Source organism: Homo sapiens, chromosome 12, assembly GCF_000001405.40.
Source record: "Homo sapiens chromosome 12, GRCh38.p14 Primary Assembly".
Taxonomy (NCBI): Eukaryota; Metazoa; Chordata; class Mammalia; order Primates; family Hominidae; genus Homo; species Homo sapiens.
In genome coordinates, this window is record NC_000012.12 from 80,478,083 (window position 1) to 80,491,239 (window position 13,157).

General features: G+C 38.7%; 1 protein-coding gene across 1 annotated transcript in view; it reads left to right on the forward strand.

The window, feature by feature from the left end:
• Window positions 1-13,157, forward strand: part of PTPRQ (protein tyrosine phosphatase receptor type Q) — a 236,039-nt gene that overhangs the window by 33,848 nt on the left and 189,034 nt on the right. The window contains exon 9 of the mRNA NM_001145026.2: window positions 6,351-6,523. Coding sequence (NP_001138498.1) covers window positions 6,351-6,523 — 173 coding nt within the window. The remainder of the gene's footprint in view (window positions 1-6,350; window positions 6,524-13,157) is intronic.

A 13,157-nucleotide genomic window follows, 5' to 3' on the forward strand; every position in this document is an offset into this window, starting at 1 on the left:
AGACAAACAAAAAGACAGCAGTAACCTCTGCAGACTTAAATGTCCCTGTCTGACAGCTTTGAGGAGAGCAGTGGTTCTCCCAGCACGCAGCTGGAGATCTGAGAAAGGGGAAACTGCCTCCTCAAGTGGGTCCCTGACCCCTGACCCCCGAGCAGCCTAACTGGGAGGCATCCCCCAGCAGGGGCACACTGACACCTCACATGGCCAGGTACTCCAACAGACCTGCAGCTGAGGGTCCTGTCTGTTAGAAGGAAAACTAACAAACAGAAAGGACATCCACACCAAAAACCCATCTGTACATCACCATCATCAAAGACCAAAAGTAGATAAAACCACAAAGATGGGGAAAAAACAGAACAGAAAAACTGGAAACTCTAAAAAGCAGAGCGCCTCTCCTCCTCCAAAGGAATGCAGTTCCTCACCAGCAATGGAACAAAGCTGGACGGAGAACGACTTTGACGAGCTGAGAGAAGCTTCAGACGATCAAATTACTCTGAGCTACAGGAGGACATTCAAACCAAAGGCAAAGAAGTTGAAAACTGTGAAAAAAATTTAGAAGAATGTATAACTAGAATAACCAATACAGAGAAGTGCTTAAAGGAGCTGATGGAACTTATAACCAAGGCTCGAGAACTACGTGAAGAATGCAGAAGCCTCAGGAGCCGATGCGATCAACTGGAAGAAAGGGTATCAGCAATGGAAGATGAAGTGAATGAAACGAAGCGAGAAGGGAAGTTTAGAGAAAAATGAATAAAAAGAAATGAGCAAAGCCTCCAAGAAATATGGGACTATGTGAAAAGACCAAATCTACGTCTGATTGGTGTACCTGAAAGTGACGGGGAGAATGCAACCAAGTTGGAAAACACTCTGCAGGATATTATCCAGGAGAACTTCCCCAATCTAGCAAGGCAGGCCAACGTTCAGATTCAGGAAATACAGAGAACACCACAAAGATACTCCTTGAGAAGAGCAACTCCAAGACACATAATTGTCAGATTCACCAAAGTTGAAATGAAGGAAAAAATGTTAAGGGCAGCCGGAGAGAAAGGTCGGGTTACCCTCAAAGGGAAGCCCATCAGACTAACAGCAGATCTCTCGGCAGAAACCCTACAAGCCAGAAGAGAGTGGGGGCCAATATTCAACATTCTTAAAGAAAAGAATTTTCAACCCAGAATTTCATATCCAGCCAAACTAAGCTTCATAAGTGAAGGAGAAATAAAATACTTTACAGACAAGCAAATGCTGAGAGATTTTGTCACCACCAGGCCTGCTCTAAAAGAGCTCCTGAAGGAAGCACTAAACATGGAAAGGAACAACTGGTACCAGCCACTGCAAAATCATGCCAAAATGTAAAGACCATCGAGACTAGGAAGAAACTGCATCAACTAATGAGCAAAATAACCAGCTAACATCATAATGACAGGATCAAATTCACACATAACAATATTAACTTTAAATGTAAATGGACTAAATGCTCCAATTAAAAGACACAGACTGGCAAATTGGATAAAGAGTCAAGACCCATCAGTGTGCTGTATTCAGGAAACCCATCTCACGTGCAGAGACACACATAGGCTCAAAATAAAAGGATGGAGGAAGATCTACCAAGCAAATGGAGAACAAAAAAAGGCAGGGGTTGCAATCCTAGTCTCTGATAAAACAGACTTTAAACCAATAAAGATCAAAAGAGACAAAGAAGGCCATTACATAATGGTAAAGGGATCAATTCAACAAGAAGAGCTAGCCTAAATATATATGCACCCAATACAGGAGCACCCAGATTCATAAAGCAAGTCCTGAGTGACCTACAAAGAGACTTAGACTCCCACACATTAATAATGGGAGACTTTAACACCCCACTGTCAACATTAGACAGATCAACAAGACAGAAAGTCAACAAGGATACCCAGGAATTGAACTCAGCTCTGCACCAAGTGGACCTAATAGACATCTACAGAACTCTCCACCCCAAATCAAGAGAATATACATTTTTTTCAGCACCACACCACACCTATTCCAAAATTGACTACATACTTGGAAGTAAAGCTCTCCTCAGCAAATGTAAAAGAACAGAAATTATAACAAACTATCTCTGAGACCACAGTGCAATCAAACTAGAACTCAGGATTAAGAATCTCACTCAAAACTGCTCAACTTCATGGAAACTGAACAACCTGCTCCTGAATGACTACTGGGTACATAATGAAATGAAGGCAGAAATAAAGATGTTCTTTGAAACCAACTAGAACAAAGACACAACATACCAGAATATCTGGGACGCATTCAAAGCAGTGTGTAGAGGGAAATTTATAGCACTAAATGCCCACAAGAGAAAGCAGGAAAGATCCAAAATTGACAGCCTAACATCACAATTAAAAGAACTAGAAAAGCAAGAGCAAACACATTCAAAAGCTAGCAGAAGGCAAGAAATAACTAAAATCAGAGCAGAACTGAAGGAAACAGAGACACAAAAAACCCTTCAAAAAATCAATGAATCCAGGAGCTGGTTTTTTGAAAGGATCAACAAAATACATAGACCACTAGCAAGACTAATAAAGAAAAAAAGAGAGAAGAATCAAATAGACGCAATACAAAATGATAAAGGGGATATCACCACCGATCCCACAGAAATACAAACTACCATCAGAGAATACTACAAACACCTCTATGCAAATAAACTAGAAAATCTAGAAGGAATGAATAAATTCCTCGACACATACACTCTCCCAAGACTAAACCAGGAAGAAGTTGAATCTCTGAATAGACCAATAACAGGCTCTGAAATTGTGGCAATAAGCAATAGCTTACCAACCAAAAAGAGTCCAGGACCGGATGGATTCACAGCCGAATTCTACCAGAGGTACAAGGAGGAACTGGTACCATTCCTTCTGAAACTATTCCAATCAATAGAAAAAGAGGGAATCCTCCCTAACTCATTTTATGAGGCCAGCATCATTCTGATACCAAAGCCAGGCAGAGACACAACCAAAAAAGAGAATTTTAGACCAATATCCTTGATGAACATTGATGCAAAAATCCTCAGTAAAATACTGGCAAAACGAATCCAGCAGCACATCAGAAAGCTTATCCACCATGATCAAGTGGGCTTCATCCCTGGGATGCAAGGCTGGTTCAATATATTAAAATCAATAAACATAATCCAGCATATAAACAGAACCAAAGACAAAAATCACATGATTATCTCAATAGATGCAGAAAAGGCCTTTGACAAAATTCAACAATCCTTCATGCTAAAAACTCTCAATAAATTAGGTATTGATGGGACGTATTTCAAAATAATAAGAGCCATCCATGACAAACCCACAGCCAATATCATACTGAATGGGCAAAAACTGGAAGCATTCCCTTTGAAAACTGGCACAAGACAGGGATGCCCCCTCTCACCACTCCTATTCAACATAGTGTTGGAAGTTCTGCCCAGGGCAATTAGGCAGGAGAAGGAAATAAAGGGCATTCAATTAGGAAAAGAGGAAGTCAAATTGTCCCTGCTTGCAGATGACATGATTGTATATCTAGAAAACCCCATTGTCTCAGCCCAAAATCTCCTTAATCTGATAAGCAACTTCAGCAAAGTCTCAGGATACAAAACCAATGTACAAAAATCACAAGCATTCTTATACACCAACAACAGACAAACAGAGAGCCAAATCATGAGTGAACTCCCATTCACAGTTGCTTCAAAGAGAATAAAATACCTAGGAATCCAACTTACAAGGGATGTGAAGGACGTCTTCAAGGAGAACTACAAACCGCTGCTCAATGAAATAAAAGAGGATACAAACAAATGGAAGAACATTCCATGCTCATGGGTAGGAAGAATCAATATCGTGAAAATGGCCATACTGCCCAAGGTAATTTACAGATTCAATGCCATCCCCATCAAGCTACCAATGCCTTTCTTCACAGAATTGGAAAAAACTACTTTAAAGTTCATATGGAACCAAAAAAGAGCCCGCATCGCCAAGTCAATCCTAAGCCAAAAGAACAAAGCTGGAGGATCACACTACCTGACTTTAAACTATACTACAAGGCTACAGTAACCAAAACAGCATGGTACTGGTACCAAAACAGAGATATAGATCAATGGAACAGAACAGAGCCCTCAGAAATAACGCCGCATATCTACAACTATCTGATCTTTGACAAACCTGAGAAAAACAAGCAATGGGGAAAGGATTCCTTATTTAATAAATGGTGCTGGGAAAACTGGCTAGCCATATGTAGAAAGCTGAAACTGGATCCCTTCCTTACACCTTATACAAAAATTAATTCAAGATGGATTAAAGACTTAAATGTCAGACCTAAAACCATAAAAACCCTAGAAGAAAACCTAGGCAATACCATTCAGGACATAGGCATGGGCAAGGACTTCATGTCTAAAACACCAAAAGCAATGGCAACAAAAGACAAAATTGACAAATGGGATCTAATTAAACTAAAGAGCTTCTGTACAGCAAAAGAAACTACCATCAGAGCGAACAGGCAACCTACAAAATGGGAGAAAATTGTCACAACCTACTCATCTGACAAAGGGCTAATATCCAGAATCTGCAATGAACTCAAACAAATTTACAAGAGAAAAACAAACAACCCCATCAAAAAGTGGGCGAAGGACATGAACAGACACTTCTCAAAAGAAGACATTTATGCAGCCAAAAGACACATGAAAAAATGCTTATCATCACTGGCCATCAGAGAAATGCAAATCAAAACCACAATGAGATATCATCTCACACCAGTTAGAATGGCAATCATTAAAAAGTCAGGAAACAACAGGTGCTGGAGAGGATGTGGAGAAATAGGAACACTTTTACACTGTTGGTGGGACTGTAAACTAGTTCAACCATTGTGGAAGTCAGTGTGGCGATTCCTCAGGGATCTAGAACTAGAAATACCATTTGACCCAGCCATCCCATTACTGGGTATATACCCAAAGGACTATAAATCATGCTGCTATAAAGACACATGCACACGTATGTTTATTGTGGCACTATTCACAATAGCAAAGACTTGGAACCAATCCAAATGTCCAACAATGATAGACTGGATTAAGAAAATGTGGCACATATACACCATGGAATACTATGCAGCCATAAAAAATGATGAGTTCATGTCCTTTGTAGGGACATGGATGAAATTGGAAATCATCATTCTCAGTAAACTATCGCAAGAACAAAAAACCAAACGCCGCATATTCTCACTCATAGATGGGAATTGAACAATGAGATCACATGGACACAGGAAGGGGAACATCACACTCTGGGGCCTGTTGTGGGGTGGGGGGAGGGGGGAGGGATAGCATTGGGAGATATACCTAATGCTAGATGACGAGTTAGTGGGTGCAGCGCACCAGCGTGGCACATGTATACATATGTAACTAACCTGCACAATGTGCACATGTACCCTAAAACTTAAAGTATAATAATAAAAGAAAAAAAAGAAATTTAGTATTAAATATCCATGTATTTAAAGACATTTAATTTAACAAAAATTTATTATACTTTCAGTTCTGGGGTACATGTGCAGAACGTATAGGTTTGTTACATAGGTATACATGTGTCATGGTGGTTTACTGCACCCATCAAAGTGTCATCTACATTAGGTACTTCTCCTAATGCTATCCCTCCCCTAGCCCCCCACCCACCGACAGGCCCCGGTGTATGATGTTCCTCTCCCTGTGTCCATGTGTTCTCATTGTTCAGCTCCCTCTTATGAGTGTGAACATGCGGCGTTTGGTTTTTTGTCCTTGTGATAGTTTGCTGAGAATGATGGTTTCCAGCTTTATCCATGTCCCTGCAAAGGACATGACCTCATCCTTTTTTTAAGACTTATTTAATTTTTAACAAAATAAATTGTTTTTGTCTATTTTCTTTCTTTCTTGTTTTTTGTTTGTTTGTTTGTTTGTTTGTTTGTTTGTTTTTTGATGGAGTCTTGCTCTTTCTTCCAGGCTGGAGTGCAGTGGTGCAATCTCCACTCACTGTAACCTCCGCCTCTTGGGTTCAAGCAATTCTCCTGCCTCAGCCTCCTGAGTAGCTGGGATTACAGGCACGCACCACCATGCCTGGCTTATTTTTGTATTTTTTAGTAGAGATGGGGTTTCACCATGTTGGTCAGGCTGGTCTCGAACTCCTTACCTCAGGTGATTGGCCTCCCTTGGCCTCCCAAAGTGCTGGGATTACAGCCATGAGCCACCGCACCTAGCCTAGTCTGTTTTCTAATAGAATTGTTTATATATCTTAAATTGTGAACTAAGAATTTAGGCACTTTTTTCACTTGAAAAAATATTTTTAATTTCCCCCTTTTCTTTTCTTTCTTTCTTTCTTTCTTAGTTCCAGGGGCAGTGTTTGATTTACAACTTGCAGAGGTAGAATCCACGCAAGTAAGAATTACTTGGAAGAAACCACGACAACCAAATGGAATTATTAACCAATACCGAGTGAAAGTGCTAGTTCCAGAGACAGGAATAATTTTGGAAAATACTTTGCTCACTGGAAATAATGAGGTATTGCATTTTTATTTCACTTATTGGTGAACCCTTTCTGCTTGGTTCTGGCTCTGATAGCTTGGAAGATTTGCTAGCACCCACACATGTAATATTTGACCACTTACTAGTACAAAGTAAAGTAAATTTGGGGCATGTTGATAATCTAGCTAGATCATATTTCATTTTAGGTTATATATTATTAGTTAAGTGCTATTATTCCTTTTCATCATATGAAAAATGTTAATTGTGCAATTAAACAGGACTAAAGGTATTTTCATAAGTTAATATTATTTTTCTAAATTAGTTAATGAATTGTTCGGAAACTCTTGTTATGATTTAAGTGCTCCTTCAAAGGCTGTGCTTGCAATTTGGAACAGTTGCCAGTGAAAGGCACAGTAACTTTAGTAGCTGTTGTTGACAAATGATTCTGTTCTATTTGGTCTTGGGAAGCTAAATTTCTCAAAGCTGCCTCTTTTTTTTTTTCAAAGTACATTTGATTAAGAGTCACATTACTAAATAAAAGAAATTTAAGTCGTTTCATAGATTTTAAATAAGAGGACCAGGATCTTTAGGCAATGTGTTTGCTTCTATTCACACTGGAAGTCTTATTTTTTTCCTTTTGTTTCTGTTAGGAAGTACAGGCAACACTGATTTTTCTTTCCACTGTCTTTGTTCACCTCACTTCATCAACTGTTCACCTGTGAGACTCTTTCAGCCTCCAGGCTAGTCATGTCCAGATACTGGCTGCTCCCCGGGGCATTCAAAGAATAAACTTCCTTAGGACCAGTGCAGCAATCACTGGGCCTTAAAGACAAACACGATAGTTATTCAGCACCTGGCGTCTGCTGTGTTGTTTCAGAATTGCTGCTGCTTCTACCTGTGCTGTTATTTTCCCCCACACATGCTTTCATTCTATTTCTAGTCCCAGCCTTCCTCTATTTCTGGCACTTACCTGTATGTGACAGTTGACCTCACCATGTGCTCAATGCATTCTGGCCACCCAGGACTTATCACTCCAAGTTGCTCACCATCTTCAACCCAGGGTTAAATTTTAATCCTATGTTGATTCCTTTCCTCTGTGCAAAAGATGTTGAATTATGCTTTCTGTGATACTCTGGTTGACAACTCAGGCAAAGGGCAAAAGCTTAACCCTTTGCTCCTGCTGAGAAGGTCTTAAATTAGATACTGAGCTTTCCTAGTACTAGATGACAGGTTTCCCACTTCTGCTAATGACATCTGTTGAATGGGTGGCCACACCTGTTTTTCCATGAAGCTAAGAGGTTCTAGAAAGGCTTTTTTTTTGTGATTCTGTCTCTATCTGGTCTGCAATTCTCGTCTCATAGTAGAGAGCTCATGAGCTTTGGAGACGTACAAATTTGGATTTAAATTATGATTTTGTCTCTCACTGTGCTATATAGCAAGTGGTTAAGACTGTAAACCAGGTTTAAACTCTAGTTCTGCCATTACTAACTGTTTAACCCTGGAAAAGTTGGCCTGAGCTCTCTGAACATCAGTTTCTTCTTCTCTAAGATAGTGATTATAAGTCCCTATAACAAAGGGTTAATAATGAGAATTTAATGGGTTCATGTGTGTAAAGAGCTTAGAACTGTACCTGGCATATAGTAAGTGCTGTGCTAAATAATTGTGACCTATTGTGATCATTAATCTTGGCATAGGATCATCCACCTTAGTTGCTACCCAATATTACTTCCCTTATACTCTCTCAATGAAAGGAGACATTATGCTTCTCTTTACTTCTCTGATTATATCTTTCTTTATTAGATCAGACTCATTTCTGATATTTCTGCTTCCCCATGTAGCTGGTGTTTGGGTTTACCTTTCAGGAGATTGATGTGGGGAGACAGATATGACAGAAGCTTTAAATCCAAATGGCCCTGGGTTCTTGGCCTGACTCTGCCGTGTTCTAGGTCTATGACCTTAGAAAAATCAACTTTTGGAGACTTGGTGCCTTCATTTATATAATGGGGCTTATATAGCCACCTTACAGGGTTGGGAGTAAATGACATAAGAAATACAACTTGTGGCTTAGTGTGTTCTTCATTTGTTTTTCCTTTCTTTGACCTTGGTACCTCTCTCAGGATGAGGACTCTCTTCCCATTTCTATTGATCTTCTGAAAAAGTAGCCTCATTCCCCAACTCAAGAACTCTTTAAATGCTTGAAATCTTATTAGAAGTCACCAGTGACCTCCCCAGTGTGCAACACAAGAATTAAATATTTTTAACCACCCTTGTGTTCTTATCTCCTTCAAAATCCATCCCTCTGTCCCCCCACTTTTCAGCTTTTGAAACTATTTGTTCCTTAATACTTTCTGCAATTTTATGTACTGTGACATTGCAATTCTTTGGCCTTGCACAATTAAAAATGAAAGTTCAAAAAGCTAACTCTCTCTATTTTCTAACTTTTTAGTGAAGATGTTCCACAGAGCTTTGGTTTCAGCCATCTCATAACATTTTCTTTTGAAGACCTAACAGTTTCAATCACTGCTTCCTATTTGTCTGACTCTTTTGCCTTACTTTCTACTCTGATCCTTCTCTCTGACGCTCTGGATTCCTAATTGCAGCCATTTGTGGGAAGAGTCCACCAGGGCTCATTACATCTAAATAAATTTCTCCCCATAAAACAAAACAGAAATCTTCTCTGAGATAATAGGGGCTTCATGATGGGAGGGAAGATGTGACATTGGAATGAGGACAGAGATCTTGGGACAGTGATAGTGACCTGTGCAGGTTCCCACAGGGCACCCATAAGGTCTGTCCAGGCAATTAATAGTGTCAGTGTGTCAAGAATAAGGCCTAAAGAGCGGCTGACTTGAAGTCTTGGTACCTGGGTTTAGAATTTTCTAATCCCTCTGACTGGACATAACACAAATCTCTGACCTCAAGGTCATTGTCTAAGAAACCATGGTCCAGAAGGCTTTAAGAGTGAGCATTTATGGCATTGATATATGTCTGATGTTTGTCTTTTTGGATAATGGAACAATTATCCTCTCTGTCATGAAGGCTTGAAACCTTGGAGTCACTTCTGACTTAGATCCTACTTAGCATTCAATAGCCACTTAATGTTAAGGTCAGTTATTTCTACATCCAGAATGTGACTTGCATATGTCTTTATTTTATTCCTGTATCCCCCACTTCAGCTCAGGATTGCATAGTCCCTTGCCTGGACTACTGTTATCTCACTATATTAGTTTTCCATTGTTCCATAACAATTTTCCACAAACTTAGCAGCTTAAAACAATTATAATCGCGCAGTTTCTTTGGGTCAGATGTCTAGGTACAGCTTAGATTGGTTCTCCTCTTAGAGTCTCATAAGGCTGCAAGTAAGAAACTAGCTGAGCTGTGTTCTCATCTGGAGGCTTGACTAGGGAAGAATCTACTTGCAGCCTCATTCAGGTTTTGGCAGATTTTATTTCCTTTTGGCTTTAGAACTGAGGGCCCTGGATTCTTGCTGGCTCTTGGCTGGAGAATCCCCTTAGTGCCTTACAGTTGTTTTTTTTTTTGTCCCATGTGGCCTTTTTCAACATGGCCATTTACTTCATCAAGCTAGTAAGAAGGGTCTATATAATGTGATCATGGGAGAGACATGTTATTCCTTTTGCCTTATTCTATTGGTTAGATACAAATCATAGGTCCCAACTAACTAAAGAAGAGGAGATTTTACAAAGCAGGAACAACAGGAGGTGGGTATAGTGGGTATCTACCTGAGAGGCCATGCACTACACTCCCCCAGCCTACTATTTTATATTTCAAACACTTATTAGAATAATCCTTCCAGATTTAAGTATGTTATTTACATTATGAAAGTAACCTAATAAGAATTGAGAACAGATGACGAAGGTATATATGTGTTTAAGTAACCTAACTCTTCACTAGCATTGCAGAAAATCAATAGATTCTAAAAATGAGTGTTAACAGAGCAGTATATGCATATTATTTAGTGTTTTAGGGGTAAACACCATAAGAACTGAAAACAGGAGTGGTTTAAAGTGTTGCTTCTGGGAAGTAAGAGGTAGGGAGGGTATAAACAGGGAATTGTTATTTTCATTATAAACCCTTCATCATCTTTTTTTGTAGCCATGTAGATATAACATGATGATTAAACTTAAAAATATAACCCTCCTATGCTAGGCATGATTTGATCTCATTACCCTTATTGAATTTTTTTCCAGTGAATCCCATGATCTATTTGTTTCTGAATAAATATGGATTATTTAAACAAGCTGAAATATGTATAAGATTTTACTGTTAATATTTAAACAAATATTTGAAAATTACATTAGCAAAATGAGTCTCAGGGTTTGAGATCTTTTATTTCAACTTCCACACTTATATATGTATCTGATCTATAACATTCCTAATAAATGAGGTGAATCCAGCCTCTGCTAAAATATTTGATCAACTGTTATAGGATATCTACCACTGCAAAAGTAGCTCCTATCCTATAAGCTTTGAAGTATTCTTTGTTATGGTCCCATAAGCATCTATTTCTTAAGTAATCATGAGGTTTTAGGCACTCTGTTAGGTACAGAAACCCATAGATGAATAAGAAACTACGGTGTTCTTTACTTTGAACTGAAATACCTGTCTTTTAATTTTCATCAGTTCGTCCTAAGTCTCCTCTCTAGACCAACACAGTAGATTCCAGTGGTTATGAACATGAACTTTGGAGCCAGGAAAAATGTTCCAATCCTACCTCTGCTGTCACTAGTTTTGTGAACTTGAACAGATGACTGTAAAATGGAGATAAAAATCATCTATCTCTTTGGGGGGACAATAAAGCAAGATCACATGAGTAAAAGTATTTAACACTCTGTAACACACAGTAGCTTAAAATGTTAGCCTTTGCAGTAACAACAATAATAAACAATGATTTAACTCTTTCTCATTGAAGATAATGGTCAGAGTTTTCCGAAGACTTAATATCCTTAGTTTTTATTAGTCATGGCTTCTAGGTCCTTCATATCATGGATTATATTCCTGTGCATATTTTCCAGTTTGTCAAGGATCCTCTTACTCACTTGAACACAATATTCTGTATGGAGTTTGAATGGAGCCAAATTGAGCATAATTATTTTCTCCTTCGAAGTAAATTTCTTCCTTCTTTCAAAACAGTGAAATAAAAAAAAATCATTTCATTGGGAGCCTCATTCCACTGAGACTGAAGTCTAAAAAACCCTGAAGTCATTTCCGTGGACTGCTCTTTGCTTGAACTTCACAGTCAGATCCCATCCAGTACTTGTTCAATTAGAAACCTGAGACATTTTTCTCCAACAGACATATTGCTGCCTAGTATTACAGACTTCTGAGATTGATATAGATGCATCTTTTCATCCAACATATTCCTTGAGAATATCAACGTTTGTCACTGGTGAATGTAAGAAGAAAGTCTTGTGCTAAGGGCTTGGCTGGTTGCTAGGAATGAGGCTGAGGACAGAACCCAAGAGTAGTTTAGGAATGTCTTGAGATAGGTTTATTTTATTCAGCATTAGGAACATAAACGGAGTCAAGACTTAAAGATCTGTTCACCTGAATAATGTGTTGAATGATACGGTATCCTTCAGAAAATTTCCCAGCATATGCTAATTAAAAAAATTTTTCTTTTTACCACTTCTTGATAACAGCACAAATCATGTTTTAGTCTACATTAAAATATAGAAGCATTTCTTAAGAATAAGTCAAACATTTCATTAATTCAATTCAGCAGACCTCCAGTGACCCCAAACTGATAGATGTGATAGGGTTTTTTAGAAAATACAATTACATTCACTATAATGAAGATTACTACATGTAAAATCAAGTTGGTTTATTCAGGTGGATTAGGAATTTATCTCTGAAGACTCCTAATTCTTTCACATAAATTCCAAGAATTCCTGGGCAGCATAGGCAAGGCCTTTCATGTTGACAAATTGTGACATTCCCTAACTCAATGGTGCTCAACCAGCGGCAGTTTTGCTCTCCAAGAAACATGTGTTAATCTTTGAAGACATGTTCATTGTCACAACTGAGGTAGCTGGGGGCCAGGGAAGCTGCTAAACATCCTACAATGTACAGGACAGCCTCCGCAACAGAAAAATATCTAATTCAGAATGTCAGTAGTGCTGAGGTTGGGAACCCTGTATTAAATCAGTGAGTTGCGAATTTTTAGGTGTTGCAATGGACTTTTTTCCCTCCTATTTCTCTCATTTCTACTGCTGCTTCTCTCTGCCCCTTCCCACTACTCTCTTAAGTCCAAATTCTTTCCCAACATTTTTGCTTTTAATATTATTACTTTTTTTCTCATTATGAAAACTTAACTATCATCTAACCTAATGTCTTTTCTTAAGAGGTTAAGTGTGAGAAATATTTGCAACATGACACACTTAGTGATAACATTCTGGGTTGTTACAAAGCCAATGTTCAAATCATTGCCCAAGTTATGGAGGGTTTTTCTAATGTCAGAATATCAGAATTTGAGAGTCATTCACATAGTCAAAAGCATTCGGGTCAACTCTCACTTTGAAATGGTAGTTTGTCAGCAGAGATGCTTAACATATGTAATTGATGGGATGTTATGCTTTAACTCTCCATAATTTGTCTGACATGGGATAGAAAATATTGAGAGATTTAATGCAAAACCATAGTTGAGGGGGAA